General features: G+C 41.0%; 1 protein-coding gene across 1 annotated transcript in view, besides 1 other annotated feature; it reads left to right on the forward strand.

Moving 5' to 3' along the window:
* The window catches only part of ACKR2 (atypical chemokine receptor 2), a 57842-nt gene continuing 33560 nt past the window's right edge, over positions 3098-27379 (forward strand). The window contains exons 1-2 of the mRNA NM_001296.5: positions 3098-3185; positions 13284-13364. The gene's annotated coding sequence lies outside the window, so the exon portion shown is untranslated. The remainder of the gene's footprint in view (positions 3186-13283; positions 13365-27379) is intronic.
* Positions 17050-17344: an enhancer, noted in NCBI's record as "tiled region #10622; HepG2 Activating DNase matched - State 5:Enh". NCBI's record gives its function as "activates a minimal TATA promoter and a strong SV40 promoter by Sharpr-MPRA in HepG2 cells {active_cell/tissue: HepG2}" and the evidence as "EXISTENCE:reporter gene assay evidence [ECO:0000049][PMID:27701403]".

A 27379-nucleotide genomic window follows, 5' to 3' on the forward strand; every position in this document is an offset into this window, starting at 1 on the left:
AGTTAAATAAAACCCATTTGATGATAACTTATTATTTGTGGGGCATGACTCCCCAGACCCCTTAGATAGGAATTTGGGCATGATAAAAAAAATCAGAGCTTAGTCCTCAGATGCAAAGCATCTACAACTGCACCATGGAGAAATCTGTGATTAAGTTAGAGTTTCTTGATATAACCACAAAACAAGGCAGACTACCAAGTGCTCGTCATACAGATAGGAACTAAATGTCATGGGCTCAGGATTTTGAAAATCGTTCATCTCATAATTAAGATACATGTAAGAAACATTTCATGCTATGGATGATTAAGAACTTCATACTTCGCTGGGCACGGTGGCTCACGCCTGTAATCCAAGCACTTTGGGAGGCTGAGGCAGGCGGATCACCAGGTCAGGAGATCGAGACCATACTGGCTAACACAGTGAAACCCCGTCTCTACTAAAAATACAAAAAATTAGCCGGGTGTGGTGGCGTGCACCTGTAGTCCCAGCTACTGGAGAGACTGAGGCAGGAGAATGGCGTGAACCCGGGAATCGGAGCTTGTAGTGAGCCAAGATCGCACCACTGCACTCCAGCCTGGGTGACAGAGAGAGATTCTGTCAAAAAAAAAAAAAAAAAAAAAAGAGAGAACTTCATACTTTGATTATATGGTAGCTTTCAGCTCCTTGAAGGCACATATTTTGTCTGGATGATCCTGGTATCTCCTTGAATGCTGCCTGTGTGCTCAATAGAAATTCAATAATGGTAAATGAAGAAAGATGTAAATGCTGCAATAACTGGAGGGTTTAAAAGATAAGTAGGGATAGTCAGGAACTATAGGATAAACCCCACTGCCTTCAATATGAAGGTCAACCGGAAGTCATTAGTCTCTTGATTCTGTAAACACAAAGGCTAATGGCAGCAGTGACCAAAGCATATTCATTTCTGAAGGCAATGTATATGCCTCAAACTAACATCAGCTAACTTGTTAATTTCCAGAGAATAAGATATACTGCCCCATCAGCGGAGAGCAACTAGTTGGCAACATACTAGCCGTGACCTTGGATTTGATTTCTCAAAGTGTCACTTTTTTCACTTGTAAAATGGGGGGTAACATGAATGATGGTTAAAGAGGAAATATATGTAGCATGTTAGCCCCATGCTTGGCATGAAAAATGTTAGCTATTGCTTTAAAAATTCCTTGCTGTGTACTGTGCAAAAAGAGTCAGACCTTGCCCTTGAAGCTGTAAGTATAAGCACCTTTTAAACCAATTACTATTAGGGCTCCCAATCCAGACCCCAAGAGAGGGTTCTTGGATCTCCTGCAAGAAGTAATTCTAGACGAATCCATAGAGTACAGTGAAGGCAAGCTTATTAGAAAAGTAAAGGAATAAAAGAATGGCTACTCTATAGGCAGAATACCCCCAAGGGCTGCTGGTTGCCTATTTTTATGGTTATTTCTTGATTGTATGCTAAACAAAGGGTGGATTATTCATGCCTCCCCTTTTTAGACCATATAGGGTAACTTCCTGATGTTGCCATGGCATTTGTAAAATGTCATGGTGCTGGTGGGAGTGTAGCAGTGAGGATGACCAGAGGTCACTCTCGTCGCCATGTTGGTTTTGGTGGGTTTTAGCTGGCTTCTTTACTGCAACCTGTTTTATCAGCAAGGTCTTTATGACCTGTACCTTGTGCCAATCTCCCATGTCATCCTATGACTTAGAATGCCTAACCTCCTATCTCATCCTGTGACTTAGAATGCCTAACTGTCTGGGAATGTAGCCCAGTAGGTCTCAGCCTTATCTTACCTAGCCCCTATTCAAGATGGAGTTGCTCTGGTTCAATCATCTCTGATGATTGATTGGTATAAAGGTCAAATAGCTAGTAAGTAATAGAGGTAGAGGACTGTAAACTAGGAATTTTGATTCCGCTATATTTTAGGAATATAGTATCGCTCAACAGCAAGTAATTTTTAAGACATAGAAAGGAAATACATTTTTATATATAAGCTGGACTCTATTCATAATATTAAAAAATAAGGATTTAGACAAATTATAGGATGACAGATCCACATAGATAATTTAAGGAAGTTAGATATGCACTCTATGGCTACAACTGTGTGGAAGATGCACATTTGTCCCCCAAAATCTCTTTATTGAGGCTACTGGTATACACTACTTGGTAGAATTGTCATTAGTCTGACCCAGTTTGAATGACGGTTGAATTTAGGAGAAAAAAGTCCCATCTTTCGACAAAAGTGTACCAGCCCTGTCAGTTTAAGGGAGAAAACATAAACAGAGGCAGTGTAGGGGTGGAAAGGGGATGATCCCTTTCTTTCCCATCATAAGCGTTACAGCTAACACTCCTATAACAAAAGACAGGTTAACAAGAGAAAATTACTAGCCTGGACAACATGGCAAAACCCCGTCTCTACAGAAAATACAAAAATTTGCTGGGTGTGATGGTGTGCCTCTGTAGTCCCAGCTACTCAGGAGGCTGAGGTGAGCAGATCACTTGAGCCTGGGAGGTCAAGGCTGCAGTGAGCCAAGATTGTGCCACTGCACTCAGCCTAGGCCATAGAGTGAGACCCTGTCTCAAAAAAGAAAAGATAAAAACAAAACAAAAACAAGAGAAAAACATTATAAATGTACTGTATTTGATCAAGGTTTGTTTTGTTTGTTTGTTTTTGAGACAGAGTCTTGCTCTGTCGCCAGGCTGGAGTGGAGTAGCGTGATCTTGTCTCACTACAACCTCCGCCTTCCGGGTTCAAGCAATTCTCCTGCCTCAGCCTCTCAAGTACCTGGGACTACAGGTGTGTGCCACCACACCTGGCTAATTTGTTGTATTTTAGTAGAGATGGGGTTTCACCACGTTGGCCAGGATGGTCTTGATCTCCTGACCTCATGATCTGCCTTCCTCAGCCTCCTATTGATCAAAGTTTTACATGATGCAGGAGCCTTCAGAGTGAAGACCCAAAGATACAGGTGACTCTGTCTCATTATATGCTTAGGTTTGATGAAACAGGGACAGTCGTGTAGAAATGTGATTGGACAACAAAGGATATGAGCTAATGGTAATAGAAAACCTAGCAAGACCTGTCTGTTCAGATTCTTGAACTTTCTTTCGATTGTAGCATTTCTCCTTTCAGGATACAGTACGGGATCCTTTCTGGAATGGAGGTCTTATGAGCTGCTATTGAACACGGCAGGTGAGAGAATTTCTTTATGGCCAATTCTTAGACAAAAAGTAGGGGAAGCGGTTGGGCACAGTGGCTCACGCCTGTAATCCTAGCACTTTGGGAGGCCAAGGCGGGTGGATCACGAGCTCAGGAGTTTGAGACCAGCCTGACCAACATGGTGATACCCCATCTCTACTAAAAATACAAAAATTAGCCAGGCGTGGTGGCGTGCACCTGTAATCTCAGCTACTCAGGAGGCTAAGGCAGGAGAATTGTGTGAACCTGGGAGGCAGAGGTTGCAGTGACCCGAGATCGCGCCACTGTACTCCAGCCTGGGCAACAAAGCTAGACTCCGTCTCAAAAAAAAAAAAAAAGTTGGGGAAGCTTAGAGGTTCTGGTTTCTGTAATCAGCCTTGGGGAAGAGGAATTCTATTTTCTATGACTTGCTTCAGGAGAGAATGAGGGTATGACAGATAGACAGGAGGGTAAGACAGGTTGGTTAGAAACTTTGCTTCTGAGGCTGCTTCTGAGGCCTTCACTTTGGGGTATCATTTTCTGAGCCCCAACAGCAGGAAAGAATAAATAATAGGAAATTAGAAAACAGTATTGACATAGATATTTCCTGAATTCTAAAGTGATTCATTGTTTAAAAAATAACATTTTATTGGAATTAATTGCAGAATATCTTTCAGTCTGTTGGTAATGCGATTAAGTTGCAGAATATCTTTCAATCTGTTGGTAATGTGATTGGAATGATGAGTTAGGAGTCAACTAACCATTTCAAACAAATTAACTTTTTGTTGAAATTGTTTAAAAAGACTGGGTGTATTGATAAACTGATGTGGGATATGATAAGATTTCTCTTCAAATAATCTGATCAATCTTTTATTCTTTAATTCATAGTACCCCCCCCCAATTTTTCTCCTTTTTCGCCTTTTTTCCTCTTTGCCTTTGTTAAATGCCCAGGCACGCCACAATACCACGTTTTATCAATACCAACTTACATTCCTTTCCTTATTAAAAAAAAGACTAACTTTCTAGCTCATTACAAACACCCTTTCCCCTTTCCCTCCACTTTTTCTTTTACATGCTCACCCTATCTAAAAAAAATCGAATGTTTAGCCAACCAAAATTAGTTTAAATTGTACGACCCGACCACTACCAATAAAAAAAGAATACAAAGGCAAGACTTGCGTCAAAAATAAAGGCCCTCGTGCCCCTTTGTTCAAGTGCGCTCTCATGGCAACTGGCCGAAGAGACACCCCTCTGCGCAAAAGTAAAATTGCTTCATTAAAAATCCTTTGTTCGAGTGTTCAATTTCCTTAAAATTGTAAGGGTGATTCCTAACACCGACTTCATTTCCTCATTCCTTTTTTGAGATAGAGTCTCGCTCTGTTGCCCAGGCTGGAATGCAGTGGTGCAACCTTGGCTCACTGCAGCCTCCACTTCCCAGGCTCAAGCGATTCTCATGTGAGTAGCCGGGATTACAGGCATCTGCCACCACACCCGGCTAACTTTTGTATATTTAGTAGAGATGGGGTTTCACCATGTTGGCCAGGCTGGTCTTGAACTCCTGACCTGAAGTGATCTGCCCACCTCAGCCTCCCAAAGTGCCTGGATTACAGGTGTGAGCCACAGTGGCAGGCCCTCATTTCCTCATTGTTTTGAAACAAGGCACATACATTTTCTGTAGGGAAAAGAAAGATCAGACTGTTACTGTGTCTATGTAGAAAAGGAAGACATAAGAAACTCCATTTTGATCTGTACTAAGAAAAATTGTTTTGCCTTGAGATGCTGTTAATCTATAACTTTAGCCCCAACCCTGTGCTCACAGAAACATGTGCTGTATGGAATCAAGGTTTAAGGGATCTAGGGCTGTGCAGGGTGTGCCTTGTTAACAATATGTTTACAGGCTGTATGCTTGGTAAAAGTCATCGCCATTCTCCATTCTCGATTAACCAGGGGCATAACGAACTGCGGAAAGCCGCAGGGACCTCTGCCCAAGAAAGCCTGGGTATTGTCCAAGGTTTCCCCCAACTGACACAGCCTGAGATATGGCCTTGTGGGAAGGGAAAGACCCAGCCGTCCTCCCCAGCCTGTCACCCGTAAAGGGTCTGTGCTGAGGAGGATTAGTAAAAGAGGAAGGTCTCTTGCGGTTGAGATAAGAGGAAGGCCTCCATCTCCTGCATGTCCCTGGGAATGGAATGTCTCGGTGTAAAACCCGATCGTAAATTCCTCCTATTCTGAGGTAGGAGAAAACCGCCCTGTGGCTGGAGGCGAGATATGCTGGCAGCAATGCTGCTCTGTTACTCTTTGCTACACTGAGATGTTTGGGTGGAGAGAAGCAAAAATCTGGCCTACGTGCACATCCGGGCACAGTACCTTCCCTTAAACTTATTTGTGACACAGATTCCTTTGCTCACATGTTTTCCTGCTGACCTTCTCCCCATTATCACCCTGTTCTCCTGCCGCATTCCCCTAGCCGAGATAGTGAAAATAGTAATCAATAAATGCTGAAGGAACTCAGAGACCGGGGCCTGTGCAGGTCCTCCATATGCTGAGCGCCGGTCCCCTGGGACCACTGTTCTTTCTCTATACTTTGTCTCTGTGTCTTATTCCTTTTCTCAGTCTCTCGTTCCACCTGACGAGGAATACCCAGAGGTGTGGAGGGGCTGGCCCCCTTCAGTTTTCTTTCCCTCAGGGTTGTATAGTGCATAACGGCCCTTGTTTGGCTAGGAGTATTGTAATGGGACTGCATTTGTTGTGCCAAGCCCTTACTGAAACTAATGTGATGGATACAATTTATTTCCTAGATAGTCATACTTTCTAATATTGCTTTATGAGAGAGACAAAGTATAAATGTTTAGGAAAGGTTTAAAGCAATGCATTCTAAATTTTTTTCTGAAGATTGAGTCTCAGTGTTAGGTATTAAAAGGGGCCTTAAAGCTCATCTAGTCCATTTCCTTTCTTTTAATGAAAATACAGTTTTTGAGAATGTAAGTGGATGTTTTAGATGACACACTTACAGGCAGAATCTGAATAACTCTGCCTTCCTGAGAACTAGCCCAGTGCTCTGTTTGCTTGCTTACCTCTCCAGGTCATGGAATCAGACCTCTTAGTATTCCATGCAGCTTAAAACTGAAAACCTTTAATAAAAGTGGTTGGGCAATTTTCAGCCTTTTTTTTTTTTTTTTTTTTTTTTGAGATGGAGTCTGACTCTGTTGCTCAGGCTGGAGTGCACTGGCATAATCTCATCTGACTTCAACCTCCACCTCCCAGGCTCAAGTGATCCTCTTGCCTCAGCCTCCTGAGTAGCTGGGACTACAGGCATGTGCCACCACATCCGGCTAATTTTTTTGTATTTTTAGTAGAGACAGGGTTTCACCTTTTTGGCCAAGCTGGTCTCAAAGTCCTGACCTCAAGTGATCCACCTGCCTCAGCCTCCCAAAGTGCTGGGATTACAGGCATGAGCCACTATGCCCGGCCTTCAGCTTTCTTTTGGTTCTAATCATATATGTGGTAAAGTGATTGATTTAGACAGTTATGTTAATGTGAACAGTGCTGTTAATGTTATTGAATTTGATTAAAATAAAGCTCCATAATTTATTTTATTTTATTTAGCATTAGGGCCTTTGGGACAAAATATGAATAACGAAAGCAAGATAATTTGCAAATAAGAATTAGTCCAAGAGCTATAGTATGTTTTGGGTTTGTTTTTGGGTTTGATTTTGATCTGTTTTTAAATAAGTATGTTATAGTATCTAATATTAACTTAAAATCTTGGTTCAGTTTGCCCTACATAATCTATTCTAAAAATATATGTATTGGTCTGTTCTCGCAATGCTAGAAAGAACTACCTGAGACTGGGTAATTTATAAAGAAAAGAGGTTTAATTGACTCACAGTTCTGCAAGTTGTATAGGAAGCATGGCTAAGGAGGCCTCAGGAAACTTAACAATCATGGTGGAAGATGAAGGGGAAGCAAACCTGTCTTATATGGTGGGATCAGGAGAAAGCAAGTGAAGGAAGAAGTGCTACACACTTTTAAACAACCAGGTCTTGTGAGAACTACTATAAGAGAACAGCAAGGAGAAAGTCCACCCCCGTGATCTAATCACCTCCTACCAGGCCCCTCCTCCAACACTGAGAATGACAATTTGACTTGAGATTTGGGTGGGGACACAAACCATATCATACAAATTCAAGAGTTTGTAACTTGGTACAATGTGCCTTTATTATTTTCTGCATCATGTGCATACTTCACTGGTTCACAGCATAAAGACTGAAAACTGCCATATTTATTAGGAAGTTGTATTTTGTTTTTCAAGCTCTGTTGAGGAATAGATGGAATTTGTTCCATGGTGAGCTGTTTTTAAGTTTTCGCAGTATCATTAATGACCCCAGTCTCATTCTGGGAAACTTGAATTCTCCTTGCAAATTCTAAGAAGTTCACACTTTACCCAAACTTAATGTAATAACGAGAGACAACATCTGTTTATGCCTAGTTATTTGAGGTTTTGTTGCCTGTTTGTGGGAGAAATTCTCTCCTTCTGATTAGTATGCAGAAACTAAAATCTTGGTGAATGATGGTGATAAATATCTGAAACATAATCAGATGATTCAGTCAATTTTTGGTGAAGATTATTCTGCTACACTTTATACCATATCATGTTACAAGAAAATGACAATGACACACTTACATCTTTCATAATACAGACATTATAATTGGTAACAAACATGCAACATCTATTATTCCATTCTTCGTATTGGGCGTCATTTTGAAGTATAATTGATGCAGAAGACTTAACACATTATTTGGGTTTTCAGGTATTAAACCAACCCACCTGTAATTTATAGAAAGAAAGGCAGCACAAAAAGTGTCTGCCAGCTTTGCTATTTTCCCCTCTTCAGAGAGCCTCTGTGACTTTTCATGCTGCAAATAGCTGTCTACACATGATCGTATCTTCCATAGGAGAAACAGGCTTCTAAATTCAGATGTCTGTTTATGCTGAGGCCCAACTAAAAGCTACATTACCTTGTTCTTGACATCCTTTTTAAAAAGTACTGTGTGATCTTTGTCGAACTTTGTTTAAACAAAGGTTAAACCTTTTGAGAAAATTGGTAATAATTACCGGTGTTTTTATACCAGATTTGGGAGTCACCATCAGCAATTATTGAATACGTACATTGTGCCAAGTACCTGTACTAGATTCTGAACTTAAAGACTCAGTCCCTGCCATGAAATAATTTATAATCTAAGTAGGTAGAAGGAACAAGTATATAGAAATAACAAAGACAGTTTATAAGTACTTTGAATGAAATTTCAGGTAGATATCACAGTAAGTGGAGCAGTTTCAAAGGCTTCTTGGGACTGGGGCTTAAGTGGGCCTTGAAGGATGACTAGGATGTAAATAAATTGGGAGGATATTTCAGAAACAGCAAACAGAGGGCAGAAGAATAGAGGCAGACTCTGGGATTGTAGCTGTGTCACAGAGGACAGCAAGTGTGAAAAGGCAAACATTTGTGACTAGAGCAGAGTCAGAGAGAATAATGAAAAGTGAGTCACTGTGGGGAGGACCTTCCATGTTAATTAAAGAACCTGGACAATGTTCTATTAGGTGCCGCCTGAAGACGTTGGAGCAGGATGTTGACAAGAGCAGAGGGCATTTGAGGTTATTGGAAGTGAAATAGAATGGATTAGAAAGGGAGTGTCAGCCTTAGCCAGAAAATTTAAAACTATTCAGTAATAACCCATTACATACTGTGTATTGAGACCATTTTCCCCTTGGTCTTAAGGATGTAGAGGTAGTTACATGCAGTAGTGTTATCTCTACTTCTTGACAAGGACTGCCACTTTGAGGCAGCAATAATCTTTAAAGACCAGTCCCCAGGGAGAATTGGCTAGGGGCCAGGCCATCAGAAGATTCCATGTCAGAAAATTGCCCTAACAGGCTATTCATAATGTGTTCCAATTTAGTACCCTTTACACTGCAGAGTCATGGAATAGTACTTAAGCTGTTCATTTTAGACAAAAATACACTTCCCAGACACATTAATTGCATGTTTCAAAGTTGTATTTAAAACTTGCCTAAAAGGTAGGAGCTTTTAAGTAAACAAAAAATTTTCTCTTGGCAAAAAGTAACCAGACTCTTCCTTGATCTGCTTATTCAAATCTATCAGGTGTTTTATAAGAAACACTAATATTTTTCCAGAAGGACCAGCTGGCATCATATCCGACCATGTTCTGCTAAGGTGACAATTTTTCTTTCTCACACTTTATGCATTCCAGAACATTAATTCTCAAGGGAGGTACCTGGTTCATTCCTCTACCCTTTAGGAAGAACAGCTCTAAAATGAAAGCTCAAAACTCTCCAGAGGGAGAAAAGTCACAGCCACTTTTAATTTGGTATGAGTCAGGCTCCACAGGCTCTGGGGTTTGCTTTGCTGCTTACTAGTTATGTGACACTGAGCAAGTTAATTAATCATCTTGTACCTCTGTTTCTTCATTTGTACAATAATAGGTCCTACTTAGTAGGACTCTGGGGAGTGTTAAATGATATATAAAACCCCAACATTAACTGGCATATAGTAAGTGTTATATGTGTTAATTGTTACGACATTCTGTGGGTTTTTTTGTGTGTTCCTGTAGATACTACTCAGCTAACCTATAAACACAATTGATAGTTTCGTGTGTGTGTGTGTGTGTGTGTGTGTGTGTGTACTTTGCATTTTAAAATGTCTTTTGGTTACTGAGGGTTTCCATAAAAATCATAAATATAAGATGCTCACCATCAATATGGTGTACTTCAGCAAAGAAGAAGCTAGGAGCTAGAAACCACCTTTGATCTCTTTAGTTTACATAGTGTCTTACCTTTTATATTGCTGGTTTCATCAACTGGTTCCCATTAGCAACCAAAGTGGCAGCAGGATTTGTGTGTTTATGTAGTGATAATTTTTGTAGTGAACAAAAATATTATACTTTAAATATTTTAGTCTTGAATTGACTTTTCCGCTGAGGAAACTCAGTGGAAAAAGTCAATGAACTGAGGCACTCAGTTCATTTTTTTTTTTTTTAAGGTAGAGTCTTGCTTTGTCACCCAGGCTGGAGTGCAGTGTGCAATCTCAGCTCACTGAAACCTCTGCCTCATGGGTTCAAGTAATTCTCATGCCTCAGCCTCCCGAGTAGCTGGGATTACAGGTGTTTGCCACCACACCTGGCTATTTTTTTCTATTTTTAGTAGAGACAGGGTTTCACCACGTTGGCCAGGCTGGTCTCAAACTCCTTACCTCAGGTGATCTGCCCACCTCAGCCTCCCAAAGTGCTGGGATTACAGACGTGAGCCACCATGCCTGTCTAGCACTCAGTATTTTTTATTGCTGTTGGGGACAGCAGGACACTTAACAAGTACTAATGAAAAAAAAATTTGGTAGAGTGGAAAAGGCACTGGCTTTGGGCCCCTGGATTGCTACCAGGCCTGAAGTCAAAAGACACGGCTTTGAATAACAGCTTAAATGCTTATGGACATTATGACCTTGAACACGTTATTTAGCCTCACATTTTTCATCAACACAATGGGGATACTAGTAAGTATATGCCTTATAGGATAGCATTGTGTGATCTAAGTGACCATACATAAGGCACCAAGAAGAGTGCTTGGGATGTAATAGAGCCTCAGTACATGTTAGATCCTCTCACCAAACCAGGCCCCTTCCTCTTGCTGCTATCTTCTTAAGCATTAACCAGCAATGCAACCTCAAGCAAGTCACTTTTCTTTTTTAGACCGTGAAGTTTTCTGACCCCTTCTCTAAATCAATTCTCTCATTTATTCTTGTTCAGCCTCGACTTCCATTCCCCTGATATCCCCACTAACCGTTTTCACAGAGAGCATTGAAAAATTCTCTCAGCTTCCTCCTCTCTTACCCTACCTGCGTCTCCATCAGTCGTTTCTTCTGGTTTTGGGTACCCTCCTCCCACTGAACACCCATCAAACCCTATGCTCTGGATTCCATCATTTTTTGCCATTGAATCTGTCAGCTTTTTGCTCTCTCACCTGTAATTTCAGCCTCTCCTCGCCCCTGCATCCAGGCTTCTCATACTCTTCCATTTAAAAAAGATTCCTTCCTAGATTCTTCATCCTTTCTCCAGCTATTGCTCTCTTTTCTTTCTCCTCAGTTTAGGAGAAAAAAGTGTACATATCATCCCACATCTTCCCCCCAACCCAGCTCTCTCAACCCACTGGTTTCCATTCTTGTCACGCTACTGAAACAACAATAGTAAAGGACATAATTCAATGGACATATTTCAGTTTCTCAGCCCATATCTTACTTGACTCTTCTATCATATTTGACATTATGAATCTTCCATTGACACTCTTCTTCTCATTCTCCTTCCAGTCTGGTCATTCTTTCTTAGTTACAGTGACTGAATTTATTTCCTGTGTCCCTTAAATATTGGTGTGCTCTAGGGTTCTGTGCTCTCTTTCCTTCTTACTCTCTGCCCTTCTCTTAGAGTAATCTCATGTACTTTTATGGTTTTTTATTCTCATCTGTATGCTGATGTTCTTTTCTCTCCTCTGTCTGCCACACTTCTTGCCTGTGTTCCAGAGCTATCTATTCAACTGTGTTGGACGTCTTCACTTTGGTATTCCACAGACTCCATGTGTCCATAAATGAGCCGTGTTAACCATCTCTCTCCTCCCCTCTTCTCTGCTCTCTACATCTCTCTCCGCACAAGCCTGCACTTTCTCCTAAATTCCCTGACGTGTTTGATGGAACAACTGTCCATCCCATTCACCAAACATGAAAGCTGGGTCAATCCCTGATGCCACTTCCTCCTTTCTTCACATCCAGCCAGTGACATCTGAGCAGAGAACTGAATGACCAGGGGTCAGCTCTATGAAGATCTAGGGGAAGAGCTACAGCAGACATGAGACTGAGTTTTCACTTTCATAGTGATGTGCTCTGAGCAAACTGGCCCAGAATTGGCTGCTTCCTACAAGCAGTAATGTTGAGAGGATCATTTACACAGGAAAGCACTTAAACAGATCAAATAAGGAAAGACATTGGCATAATTTTTTTGAGACGGAGTCTCACTCTGTCACCCAGGCTAGAGTGCAGTGGCGCGATCTCGGCTCACTGCAACCTCCATCTCTCGGGTTCAAGCAATTCTCCTGTCTCTGCCTCCAGAGTAGCTGTGATTACAGGCAAGTGCCACCACACCCAGCTAATTTTTGTATTTTTAGTAGCGACAAGGTTTCGCCATGTTGATCAGACTGGTCTTGAACTCCTGACCTCAGGTGATCTGCCCGGCTCGGCCTCCTAAAGTGTTGGGATTACAGATGTGAGCCACCATACCTGGCCCATAGATTGTTTTTACTGACAACATTTTCAAACAAAATGCTGTCAGGTTGTCACTAAAAAATGGATCTTGGATTCTTTGCAGCTCCTCAAATTCCTTTTTGTTCTTTCTGTTAGTTCTTTGCTGGGGTGTTGGTGGGGGAAATGGGGGGCAGGTGGGATGGTGGGCACAGAATTTTCCTGACTAAGCCGAAGCTCTCCTGCCTCTTTTACTTGTTCTGAAGACTTTTGAATTTGAGATTAACAACACAACCATCACCTCTTAAAAGTCTGTATAACTTTATCTTGCATATATTTTGTTATTAAATATGTCTTTTAGTAGAGAATGAGTAGGAAGACTTTGGTCTTTATAATATTCAGTTTTATGTGGGTTATATCCTGATTTTTAAAGTTAGAAACTCATAATTTTATGTAATTCTATGTAACTAAAAAGATTGATTTGTTTTTATAATCTATATTTGTATAAGTATGGGACTAGATTACACAAAACAACATTGATCACTGGAACTAAGAGCTTTCTTTTGACCACAGGCAAACAGCTCTTTCCAGTAGAAAAGAGCTGGGCTCCCTCACTGTTTCCTGGCTCTTTCCAGTAGAAAAGAGCTGGGCTCCCTCACTGTTTCCTGGCTCTTTCCAGTAGAAAAGAGCTGGGCTCCCTCACTGTTTCCTGGCACACGGTATGATATTGAGTTCCATGATTATGCATGTACCTTGGGTTACAACCCCCCTGGCGGCAGAACCTCTATTGTGTCCTTCTTTGTATTGCCCACAGAGCCTGTTGGTGACCTGCACACAGGAGCCCTCCAGTCAGTACTGATTGAATTACTCAAGGCTGCCTCTCTGCAAAGTTGAGGTAAGCAGCTGAGTTCAATGATGCTGGCTGCATTTTCAGCTATTGGGGCTGCAGTAGCTAGGCAGGGGCTGCAGGCCCTTCTGGCTTTTTAGCCCTCCTGCTCACCCACCATTTACACAGTCTTCCTTTCAGAGCCCCCCTTTCTCCTCCTGCACTTCCTTGAATATTGACTGCCTCTCTGATTTCCCTCACTTTGTCTCTCCCAAATATTAGGGCTGTTTTTATGGTCTGCTAATTCTGTGAGAATGAGGTACCTCTTCTGGGAGGCACTGCCACACTCAATGGCACTGCAAACAGGTTTTTATTGGCTCATCTCCAAGCTCTCCAAGTCATTCTGCCCTCATACTGATTATGAGACACCATCTGTTTATCTTGATTGCATAATAAATTGAGGACTCATAAATGTAGTTGACATCTAAATTAGATCCAAATCACAGTAAGAACAGGATAATGGTCTCCTTTGTCAGAGATGGATGAATAATTACTTTTATAGCTCTGGAAGAAAAATGGGTTATGCAAACAGATACTTCACCCAAATTGGTTTCCTGAGTGACTCTCCGTATGTTGATGTTTTTGCTCAGGGACAGGAACCTGCCTACCCTGTTTCAGGGAAAACCAGAAAAGAAATATAATCTGCTTTGGGAGTCTGAGGCGGATGGATCACGAGGTCAGGAGATCGAGACCATCCTGGCTAACATGGTGAAACCCCATCTCTACTAAAAATACAAAAAATTAGCCAGATGTGGTGGTGGGCGCCTGTAGTCCCAGCTATTCTGGAGGCTGAGGCAGGAGAATGGCATGAACCTGGGAGGCGGAGCTTGCAGTGAGCCCAGATCACGCCACTGCACTCCAGCCTGGGCAACAGAGCAAGACTCTGTCTCAAAAAAAAAAAAAAAAAAGAAATATAATCTGCCCAACCCAACAGTCAAATGTTAGCCACCAATGTCCTTGTGTTACCCTGCTTTCTGAGGGCCAGAAGAGATTTTCAAAGATTATGAGCACTAAAATAACAGTAAAAAAAAAAAAAAAAAAAGCTAGTAACCTTGGCCTGTTGCCTAGTACAATATAGCTGATGAGAAGGAAATCACAAGGCAGTGGGACTGGGCTAAGGTGCAGCTTGTGAGTTCTCTAGGAATTGGGTGGGTTATTGCTTAAGGACAGTTCATCAATAGTTTTTTTTTTTTTTTCTTTGAGATGGAGTCTCACACTGTTGCCTGGGCTAAAGTGCAGCGGTGCGATCTCGGCTCACTGCCATGTCCGCCTCCCAGGTTCAAGTGATTCTCCTGACTCAGCCTCCCGAGTAGCTGGGATTACAGGTGGCTGCCACCATGCCCGGCTAATTTTTTAAATTTTTAGTAGAGACGAGGTTTCACTATGTTTGCCAGGCTAGTCTCGAACGCCTGACCTCGTGATCCACCCGCCTCGGCACCCCAAAGTGCTGGTGCTAAGATTACAGGCGTGAGCCACCATGCCTGGCCTCATCAATAGTTTTAAAAGACCTGTTACGATTTCTGGCTAATTTGCTTTTACCGTTAATTCAGAATGCTTGTGATCCACAGGCTATAGTGAGTGAGTTGTCCCTGGCATCCCTTTTCCTTACATACGTGTTCCACTAGAAGCAAGAAAAACCACATACAGCTGCTCAGTCTGCAATACGCCAACAGCACACGCACACAGGAGTCCTGTTTAGCTCACTTCCATTTCCTACGTGCACTGCTGCACACTTGACCTACACACTTGACATACGAAAGTGTCTCTGATCATTTAAACAACTCTACAAGTGTGTATTATTACCCCCATTTTATACAGGAGGAAACTGAGGTTCCGTGTGGTTAGGTAACTTGCTTGGGTTTCCATAGAGGCAGAGGTAGAATTTGAACCCAGTACTGTTTAGCTCATGCCCTTTCTGGAACACTCTCTTGCCTCTCTATCTTTTCTTTTTGCTGCCTATGCTCAGATTGTTCTCTCTCTTATAGAATATATATATGTTTTTGTTTTTTTTTTAGAGAGAGTCTCGTTCTGTCGCCCAGGCTGGAGTGCAGTGGCGCTATCTCGGCTCACTGCAAGCTCCGATTCCCGGGTTCACGCCATTCTCCTGCCTCAGCCTCCCGAGTAGCTGGGACTACAGGGGCCCACTACCACGCCCGGCTAATATTTTGTATTTTTAGTAGAGACGGGGTTTCACTGTGTTAGCCAGGATGGTCTCGATCTCCTGACCTCGTGATCCGCCCGCCTCGGCCTCTCAAAGTGCTGGGATTACAGGCGTGAGCCACCACGCCCAGCCAGAATATACTTTTCAATCTTCTCTTTCCCCTGTCAGAATCTTTATCAATCAAAACTTTTGTTTTGAAATACATATATGTATATATTTACAAACACATACAACTTAGGTTTACATCTATATTTATTTATATGCATTGACTTCTAGGTATTTATAGATAGATAGAGACAGATATAAATAAATAAATAAATAAATAAATAAATAAAATATGGAAAGATATACTCCTCAAATAGTAATGGTGGCTTTATCTGAACAGTAGAATACTTCGTGATTTTTATTTCCGTTTTTAAAAATATATTTATGAAACTAAATTTATATTATTGCTATAATCACAAAACAATTTTTAAAACCTTTCACATCCTTTTAAGTTCACATGTCACTACCTGAATAGAATCTCTTCCCAGTCTCTAAATTAAAGCTCTCTGTCCCTCTTTTGAAACACACTCCCTTTTCCTAGTACTTGTATTTTCTTGAGTCACTTCTAGCATTTTGCTTTGTATTCTGTGTAGCCTCAACTTCCCAGGGCCCACTAACTCAGAGAGGGAAGAATACAACAGGCACAGTTAAAAATAAAAACAGGCTGGGTGCGGTGGCTCACACCTGTAATCCCAGCACTTTGGGAGGCCAAGGCAGGTGGACTACTTGAGGTCAGGAGTTCGAGACCAGCCTTGCCAACATGGTGAAACCCTGTCTCTACTGAAATGCAAAAATTACCCAGGCGTGGTGGTGCACGCCTGTAATCCCAGCCCAGCTACTTGGGAGGTGGAGGCAGGATTGCATCACTGCACTGCAGCCTGGGTGACAGAGCAAGACTCCAGCTCAAAAAAAAAAAAAAAAAAAAAAGAATAAAACCAGTAACAGAATAATTGTTATTCCAATCTGCCCCCCTTCCCCAGTCATGAAAGCTAGGATCTTTTTGCTGTATCCACCAGATCTCAGGCTTGTGTCTCTTCCCCTCTCTGTAGTCTTGGCTGTGTGTCCACCACAACACTGTTCCTTTGATGTGAGTCAATCATTACGCTCACTCCAGTGTTTGTTTTTGCATGATGCTGTCCCCTTCCTTTCACTTGGTTCTAGGCTAAGCCCCATTATTCCACCAGGCCCCACATGGTCTAGGCTGTGCCTCCTGTCTTCACTTTGCTGAAGTGGCGGGACAGTCTTCTCCTATCCAGGTTTCACTTTTAAAAAGTTATCCCTTCCTCTTGTTTTCTTCATCTCCGATAAAGCCTAGCATGGAGTGACTTTTGCGTTTGAGTTTTTCCTTTTGTTTCTTACAGCATCCCCTCCCCTGCCACCTTGCCTAGGGGAATTTGTACTGAACTTGGTCAGGAGTCAGAGTAATCTGTCTCAATATCTCCCTCTCCTCAATCAGGGGCTCCAGACAAAAGGATGCTCAACTGCTTTCTCTCCTGTCTGGGAGATCAGGGTGTGACCTTCATTCTATAATTTATTCAAGTGTCTCTCTCCTGTGTAGCCTGTCAGCCTTCGTGTCTCCAGTCATTCTCTTCCTAGACAGACTTGTCTGGGATGTTCAGAACTGGAAGTTTGGTGGCTTGCCCTGACATGTCCAATACTCAGTAAGCAAGCAGAACTTACCCTCTTTGGGCTCTCTGCACTGTGTGCTCTTCTAAGCCATGCAATCAACTTCTAAGACCATAAGAGGGGAGCTAAGCACCATTCAGCTTTGTATATGCCCTGAGGGAACTAACACAGTTGCATAGGATGGCAAGAAACCTATACATTTTTGCGGAATGAATTAATAAAATCTATTGACTTTTGTGCTCTGCTTTTCTCCCTTAACTTTATTGCAGCAAGCAATCAAATAAAGGTAATTAGTCCTAGTTTGTTCTACACTAAGTATATCACACTGTGATTCTGATTTCATAACTTAGATCTGAGTTTTAGAACACTGAGACAATCACAGTCGTCCCTTCGTATCCACAGGGGATTGGTTTCACATCTGACCTCATGTGATAGGTTGCAGTCAAAACCCAGTCAAAACTTTGTTTCATGCACAAAATTATTGTATGAAGTTAACTTCAGACTATGTGTATGAGGTGTATATGAAGCATAAATAAATGTGTTTAAACTTGGGTCTCATCCCATAGATATCTCATTATTTATATTTTGAAATATTTCAAAATCCAGGAAATTCCGAAATCCAAAACACTTCTGGTGCCAAGCATTTTGAATAAGGGATACTCAACCTATAATACCTAATATAATGTAAATGCTATGTAAATAGTTGTTATACTGTATTTTAAAAAATTTGTATTTTTTTATTGCTGTATTGTTATTTTTAAATTTTTTTAAAAAATATTTTCAGTCCTTTGTTGGTTGAATCCATGGATTTGGAACCCATATGAATACAGAGGGCTGACTATATACATAAAATTTGGCCTCTTAAATTATGCAATTTAATATAACCACAAAGTTGCACACTCATCACACTGTCTAAAATCAGAACATTTTTCATCATGCCAAACATGAGTGACACACATTAGCTGTCACTTCCATCTCCACACCTTCCCCCTGCCCCATGAATCTATTTTGGGTATTTGCCTATTCTGGACATTTCATATAAATGGAATCGTACAATATATGGACTTTTGTATCAGATTTCTTTTACATTGTATAATGTTTTCAAGGTTCATCCATGTCATAGCATGTATCGATACTTTATTCCTTTTAAATGGCTGAATAATATTTCACTGCATGGATATACCACACTTTGCTTATCCATTCATCCATTGGTAGACATTTGGGTTGTTTCCAATTTTGGGCCATCATGAATAATGTTGGGAACATTTGTGTATATGTGTTTTCCTAGGGACATATGATTTCAATTTTCTTGGGCATATACCAGACCATATGTTTAAGTTCTTAAGGAATTACCAAAATTGTTTTCCAATGTGGCTGTGCCATTTTACATTCACAGCAGCAATGTATGAGGGTTCCAGTTTCTCCATGTTTCTCTTTTTGAATTATAGCCATCCCAATGGATGTGAAGTGGAAAATCAATTGGCCATGGATACCTGGGTTTATTTATGGACTCTCAGTTCTATTCGATTGATCTATATGACTATTCTGATATCAGTACTACACAGTCTTGATTACTGTGACTTTGTAGTAAGTTTTGAAAAAAGAAGTGTGAGTCCAACTTTGTCCTTTTTCAAAGTTGTTTTGGCTATTCTGGGTTCCTTGCATTTCCATGCGAATTTTATAATAAGCATGTCTGTTTCTGTAAAAAATGCAGTTGCAACTTTGATTGGGATTGTGTTGAATCTGTAGATCAATGAAGGGAGTACATCCCTCTTAACAACCTTTAGTCTTCCAATCCGTGAACATGAAATGTAATTCCACTTACTTAGGTCTACTTTAATTTCTTTCCATGATGTTTTACAGTTTTTAGTGTATAGGCCTTGCACTTCATTTGTTAAATTTATTCCTAGGTATCTTATTTTTTCTGATGTTATCGTAGATATAATAGTTTTCTTAATTTCTTTTTAGTTTATAGAAATACAGTTGCTTTTTGTATATTGATCTTGTATCCTGAATGTTGCTGAGATAACTTGTTAGCTCTGATGTGTGTGTGTGTGTGTGTGTGTGCGTGTGTGTGTGTGTATTTCTTAGGATTTTCTATATACAAAATCATGTAATCTGCCAATAGAGGAAATTTCAGTGCTTCCTTTCCAGTGCAAATGCTTTTTATTTTTCTTGCACAACTGCTCTGACTAGAAATGCCAGTACAATGTCAAATAAAAGTGGTGAAAGTGGGCATCTTTGTTTTGTTTGTGATCTGAGGTAGGGAGGGGGAAGATTTCAGTCTTTTACCATTAAGTGTGATGTTAGCTCTGGGTTTTTTTTTTTTTGTTTTTTTTTTTTGTAGATACCATTAATCAGGTTGAGGATGTTCCCTAGTTTATTGAATTTTTTTTTTTTTTCAATCAGGAAAGGTGGTGAAGATTACCAAATGTTCTTTCTGCATCTGTTAAGGTGATCATGTGGTTTTTGTCCTTTATTCTTTTCATATGTTGTCTTACATTGTTTGAGTTTCGGATGTTGAACGGTTTAACCTTGCATGCCTGGCAAATAGCTTAACTAGTCATGGTGTATAACCCGTTATATCTGTAGTTGGATTTGGGTTGTTAGTATGTTGTTTAGGGAGTTGTGTGTGTCTGAGAATCTATATATGGTCCATAAGGGATATTGGTGTGTAGTGTTCTTTTCTTGTGATGTCTTTGTTGGGTTTTTGTATCAGAGTAATACTGGACTCATAGAATGAGTTGGGAAATGTTTCTTCCCCTTCTGTTTTTTGAAAGAGTTTGAGAGGATTAGTGGTAATTCTTTAAACATTTGGTAGAATTTACCAGTGAAGTCATCTGGTTCTGGGCTTTTCTTTGTGGGACATTTTTTGATTACTAATGAAATTCCTTTCTTTGTTATAGGTCTATTCAGATTTTCTTTTTCCTCTTGAGAGAGTTTTGGTAGTTTATGTCTTTCTAGAAATTTGTTCATATGAATTATCTAATTTATTGGCATACAGATGTTCATAGTATTTTCTTATAATCTTTTTTTCTATAGTGATTCTCTCTCTTTTATTTCTGATTTTAGCAATTAGAGTCTTCTCCCTTTTTTCTTAGTCAATTAGTTAAAAGTTTGTCAGTTTTGCTGATGTTTTCCAAGAACAACCTTTGGTTTTGTTGATTTTCTCTATTGTATTCATATTCTCTCATTCATTTGTACTCCAATATTTATTTTGTCTTTATTTTTGCTTGCTTTCAGTTTAGTTTGCCCTTCTTTTTCCAGAATCATAGGCGAAAAGTTAGTTTACTGAATTGGGGTCTCTTTTTAAAAATATCTGTATTCACATTTCTCTCTAAGCATTGCTTTTACTATGTCCCATAAGTTTGGTACATTTTATTTTTGTTTTCATTCATCTCAAAGTATTTTCTAATCTCCCTTGTGATTTCTTCTTTGACCCATTGGTTATTTAGGAGTGTGTTGTTTAATTTCCACATGGTTTTGAATTCCCCAAATTTTTCCTTCTGTTATTGATTGAGTTTAATTCCATTATGGTTGGAGAAGATATTATATATGGTTTCAGTTCTTCTGAATGCATTGAGACTTGTTATATGGCCTAACATATTCTCTGTCCTGGAGAATGCTGTATGTGCACCTGAGAAGAACATGTATTTTGCAGTTGTTGGGTGGAGTGTCTTACTTATATCAGTTTTAGGTATTCACTTTTCACCTGGTTAAACATTATTCATTCTTTGAGTCACAGGTCCAAAGGATTTCTTGTGTCAAATATTTCTTAATCCATCTCCCTAAGTAAAATGTAGTTTCTTCATTTGAATTTCTATAATTCTGCCAACACCTATAACTGTATTATAACTTTTATTCCAATTCAGTCTTTCTAAATTCTGATGTTATGGGTTTCTTTGTGCAGAGCCATGTTGTAACTGTATCTCCATATCACTGAAACCTTACTTCTAGTGGTAACTTTAAAGCATGTCATCGAAAGGCTGAAAGAATCTGCTGGTTATTGAGCACTTTGTCAATCCAGAGCCATAAACTACCTACAATGGATTATGGATAAGGAGAAGCAAGGCAGTGTACTCTGCCTCTGGGGAACCTACATTTTAGTTAAGAGATCTACGAGATACCAATGTAGGAAACCTTTAAGACAAGATTTGACCAAGTGCCAAGATGAAGGCACTAGGGGATTGGACTTGTTCACTTTGTCTCTCTCCCCATGCGTGGGAAAGAGGCTTGTGGAATTGTGAGGCTGGAACAGCCCTCAGGGTTTCTGATTTCTAGTCATCATCCAGCCTGTGCGTGGACACTCTCACCCACAGGGAGACGCCCCCACACTCCCATTTAGGACTTGTTGATGGTTGTTTGCTAACTTTGGGCAGAGCAAGAAAAATGAATTGCCCTTTAGCTACCACACACCCTTCAGTCTTCTCCATAAAATAAACCATAAGCCTGCAAAATCATGTGTAAAGTCAACAGGGAAAGGAAAGAGCTGTAGTCATAAATTCTAATCCCAGGAGGATATGTCAAAGGATGCTTGCATTATATATATATATATATATTTTTTTTTTTTTCTTTTCTTTTCTTTTCTTTTCTGAGACAGAGTCTTGCTCTGTCACCCAGGCTGGAGTGCAGTGGTGCAATCTCTGCTCACTGCAATCTCTGCCTCCAGGGTTCAAGTGATTCTCCTGCCTCAGCCTCCCAAGTAGCTGGGATTACAGATGCCTGCCACCACGCCCAGCTGATTTTTGTATTTTTTAGTAGAGATGGGGTTTCACTATGTTGGTCAGGCTAGCCTTGAACTCCTGACCTCAGGTGATCCACCTGCCTTGGCCTCCCAAAGTGTTAGGATTACAGGCGTGAGCCACCGCGCCTGGCCAGCTTGCATTATATTTTGATTTCAGATAAGGAAAGTCAGATCAAGTGACTGTGAGAAGGTCACTTCTTTCTTCTCCCTTCCTTCCTTCCACAATGCAGCCCCTAAAAGTGGCAACATCTTGTTTTAAGGGGAACCAAAAGGAATGTTTTCTGAGACTTATTATTCTCCTAGTGCCTACCTGTCTGTGAATGTTCTGGGAAGGTCTGAGGATGAGATTTGGAGATATGGAGATTTGGAGCGGCGAATTTATCTCACATGCCAGTTAGACACTTTATTCTGTCTAATTCAGGACAAAGACTGATGATTTGGGGGGCTAATCAGGGGATTCTTTTCAAGAATACAGTGTGATGAAGAAGGTTATCAAGACAGACTGCAAACTCTTTTCTCTAGTAACCTCTGAAAATAGAATCATAATGTGAAGTACAATACCTGCAATTATGGTAGCACACATTAAATGAAATAGGAGGATAATATAAGAGCAGGCCCATAGTTGTATATATTAGTGGACTAAATGAGTGATATCTTTATTGTGATCATCATGGTCACATTTATTGACAGTCAGTTTAGGGCAAAACACTCCTGGGAGAGGGGAGCATCAAGCCATCTGAAATTGGACGGAATTAAAGAGTTAGAAAAGGAACAGAGCAGGTGTCCTGGTATAGAGTGGACTTGAACAGGGTGAAAGAATGGGCGATCTTTGGATGGAGAGAAGGGGAGAAGAAAATGAGGGTGAGTAAAAGGCCACAGAGGTTGGAATGTGTAAGATACACATTTCATCAATGCAAAAATACCAGAAGGTGGCAAACGTGGACTTTGGTAGAGGCATGGCACAGGAAAATTGCTGTTCATAAGTCCACATAGGTGTGTCAGCTTCCAAACAATATTAGCTCACTAGATGCAAATGAATTATCCACATTACTCTGTTCCAGGCAATAGCCCCTATTGAGCTAGTGACAAAGGTAAACCATCTCTGACTCATCAGAAATTCTCTTCCCAAAGAAGTGAAGGGAGAAAATGGGAGTGGTAGGCCAGGAATGAGGGGCAATTCTGGTTGGCCCAGGGTGAGTCACTTTCCCTAATGTTCCTACCAGGAGATCAGGCCATGAGCTCTTGGCTCTGCTGCTCATTCTTGTCACCTTTCCCCCATATTCTAGCTCCCTCGGGTCACTCATCCTATCACTTTTCCGATAGGGCCGTGGAGTTGTACCCTCTCTAATTTTATAGATAGGGACCCTGTGGCCTAAAGAGGATTGGGGCTTGCCCTTCTTCCTATAGCACAGTTGGGACTAGGAGAGGGACCTCTTGACCATCAACCCCTTGCATCTGCACTCTGTCCTCTGCCATGTGACGTAACTCTTTTAGTCTTCATGCCAACTGAGAGGCAAATGAGACACAAAACAGAACATGGGAAAACTTGAAGGGGCTGTACCTTGACTGCAAAGGGCACCGGGGTACATGCGTAGAGGCAAGAAGAGTTTAGGGGCAGCAGGTCATCCTACATGACCCTATTCTCAAAAGAAAATCAGCCCCCATAATCCAGTTTCAGGTCTCATATTCCAAAACCTAAACTCTGAACTAACAAACATTGTGATTCTTTCATAGATGTCTAATATTTACTAAACAAATATTGGGACTTGTTTTCAATACCCTCTTTCAAATACCCCTTATAACAGGGTTCATATTTCTCTTCCTGAATGTTATGAGGCTTCCTCTTTCCTGCCTAACTGTCCCAAGGCCTCTCCTCCTCCAATGACCATGTGGCAATCATAGAGGGGGTCTTAGATAGTATTCCTGTATCAAAGGAAGTATGTCTAAGGAATTGGAGGATGCTGGTCGTTAGCCTCTGATTGATAAGCACTTCTTATTTATTTAATTTTTTTTTAAAATAGAGATGGGGGTTTCACCCTCTTGGTCAGGTTGGTCTTGAACTCCTGGCCTCAAGTTATCTCCCTGCCTCAGCCTCCCAAAGGGCTGGGATTACAGGCATGAGCCACCACGCCCAGCCTTTGATTGATAAACTCTTCTTTCCTCTTCCTTCATTCTGTAATGCAACCCCTAAAAGTGGCAAAATCTTGTTTTAAAATTTTGTCTGTCCCCTCCCCCAAATTTGGCATATTGAAAACAAGATATGGAGCAATAGTGACTCTGAGAGGAGAAGAGGTGTAGTGCAGGACACAAGAAGCTCCCCGCTGGTGAAATCCTGTAATGTGTTTCTTTCAAGTCCCCCTCCCTGCCTTTGTCTCCTGGTGATGAGGTGTAAGTTCTGCCTTTTTTCTTTTCTTTTTTTTTTTATTTTCAGAAAGTCTTTGTTGCTTCAGGCAAGCATCAGAAACTGAATCTGCTGGGGTGTTGGTTGGACTGTGTGGCCTCTCTTTATCCCTCTCTTCCCAGACCCCTCAAAATCAGGTGCATTCTATATCCCCTTAGGCTAGATAGACATTCTATGGATGCTCCGGTCTGCATGAGGAAGGGAACTCCAACCTCCCCCAAGTCAGTTAATTTTAAACATTTTGGTCTTTTTTCTGTATAATTTGGGATTGGTGTACCAGAAATGACTAAAAACCTGTGGTTTTCTGAGAGTGATCCTGGGACTATAATTTTCTGAAATTAAACTTCAGGCAAAAAAAATAAAAAAAAAGAGAAGAAAAGAAAAAGAAAAACAGAAACTCTCATCGTGGCCAGATGGAGCCAGAGATTTGTGAGAAGACGAGGCTTAAAGAGTAAAAGGCTATCAGTGTGCGAGATGGGTTGAAAAACAAAAAATAAAAGGTGAAATCCGAGACTGCCACGCTCACCTAGGAGAAGTTGCAAAACCTCCTTAGTGATGTTGGGAAAATTCTTTTCAGTGAAAAGTCTCTTATGGACCTGTTAAAAATATCCCAAGAGCAAAACAGCAGACCCCCCACCTTTAAAGGAGGTGTACCTTTTGTCACTTAATGCCTGCCTGTTTCAAATCCAACCTTCATTGCTTTGTGACGTTAAAACATTTCTTCTTTGCCAGCTGGCATGATGCTAAACTTTATCAGCAGGGGGCGCTGGAGGGCTAATTTCATTGGCCAATGGCAGTGGTTTCTTGCCCTCCAGCTTCAGTTGCCCAGGATGCTGCTTGCCAGTTTTGACCCATAGTTTCCTGCCTGCTAGCCCCAGCTGCTGAGTGTGGATGAGCTCCATCTAGGGCAACCCAGTTGAACATCTGTGCCATCCAGTAGCTGCAATCGCACCCTCTCAAAGGAGGTCTGCATCCTAGCTTTGGGGCAGGGCTCCCTTCTCTTCCAAATTAGTACTTTTGTAAGTAGTCTCCCTCTGCCTAGGATGTTCTTTAGAGTTCTCTTCAATTCTCTTGTAGTAGTTACTTCTCTTCAAATAGTCAATACATCTTTATATTAAACTTTCCCTGTTCAACTTACTGTGGTTACTGTCTCCTGACTCTCCTTTCATGGACCATGATGCCAAAAATGCAATTACTAGTAGGTGAAAGGTTTGATAGTTTCAAAATCAAGTGAACATAGGGAAATACATGGGCCTTAATATCACTAGAAATTTAAAGAGGCAGAACCAATTTATTCAGCCAGAAATTATGTCTATGAATTTTGTACTTAGAATTGGTATTAAATCATTGTATGGTTTAATGGTAGTGAAATGAAACACAAAACTTTGGAGACTGAGATTTTTGGAAAGATAGAGATGACCCTCCCCTTTCCTCTAGTGGCAACTGCACCAAGAACAGCCTAATACCAGAAAGCCTCCATCTCTTAAGATGTCATGACCCTTAATTGTTAGAAATTCATTGCCATCAGGCTAGGCGTGGTGGCTCATGCCTGTAATCCCAGCACTTTGGGAGGCTGAGGTGGGCAGATCACTTGAGTCCAGGAATTTGAGACCAGCTAGGCCAACACAGTGAGGACCTGTCTCTAATAAAAATACAAAAATTGGCTGGGTATAGTGGTGGGCACCTGTAATCCCAGCTACTCAGGAGGCTGAGGCATAAGAATCACTTGAACTGGGGAGGCAGAGGTTGCAGTGAGCTGAGATTGCGCCACTGCACTCCAGCCTGGGTGACTGGGCAACAGAGCAATACTCTGTCTCAAAAAAAGAATAAAAAAAAAAGAAAGAAAAAGAAAAAGAAAATGTAGTGCTATCAAATTAAGAAAATGCAAAAACCTGCACCAGTTCATCTATCAGATTAGGGCACTCCATCACCGCATACGGAACGCACAGCAATGAAATACTCTAGACCAGTGCTGTCCAATAAAAACAGGTGAGCCACCATATGATCCGTATGTGTCATTTTAATTTTTTTTTTGAGACAGAGTCTCACTGTCGACCAGGCTGGAGTGTAGTGGCATGATCATGGCTCACTGCAGCCTCAACTTCCTAGGCTCAAGCGATTCTCCCACCTTAGCCTCCTGAGTAGCTGGGACTACAGGCACATGCCACCACACCTGGCTAATTTTTCTATTTTTATTTTTTTGAGATAGGGTCTGACTCTGTTGCCCAGGCTGGAGTACAGTGGCACAATCTCAGCTCACTACAACCTCTGCCTCCTGGGCTTAAGTGATCCTCCCACCTCAGCCTCCCGAGTAGCTGGGACTACAGGCATGTGCCACCACACCCAGCTAATTTTTGTGTTTTTTGTAGAGATGAGGTTTCTCCACATTGCCTAGGCTAGTCTTGAACTCCTGGGCTCAAGCGATCTGCCCGCCTTGGCCTCCCAAAGTGCTGGGATTACAGGCATGAGCTACTGTGCTTGGGTTAATTTATAAATTTTTTTGTAGAGATGAGGGCTCACTAAGTTGCCCAGCCTTAAATTTTCTAATAGTCAACATTAAAGCCCTAAAGAGAAACAAGTGAAATTAATTTGAATGATGTATTTATTTAACCCAAAATATAAACAAATTATCTCAAGATGTAATCAACATAACAATGAGATATTTTGTTTATTTTTATTTTTTATTTTTTAAAGTATTTTTTATTTCAATAGGTTTTGGGGGAACAGATAGTGTTTGATTACATGCATAAGTTCTTTAGTGGTGATTTCTGAGATTTTGGTGCACCCATCACCCAAGCAGTGTACACTATACAATTATTAATTATTAATGAGATATTTTACATTCCGTTATTTGTACTGTCTTTGAAATCTGACATGTGCTTTATGCTTGTACTTCTCAGTTCAGACTAGTCACATTTCAGGTGCTTCATGGCCAAATATGGCTAGTGACTACTGTACTGCCCAGTTCTAGAATAGGATTTGACCACACATACTACTTAGTGGGAATGACGATTTGAGAGATCATTTAAAAAAAAAACTGCATTACA

This window comes from Homo sapiens, chromosome 3, assembly GCF_000001405.40.
Source record: "Homo sapiens chromosome 3, GRCh38.p14 Primary Assembly".
Taxonomy (NCBI): domain Eukaryota; kingdom Metazoa; phylum Chordata; class Mammalia; order Primates; family Hominidae; genus Homo; species Homo sapiens.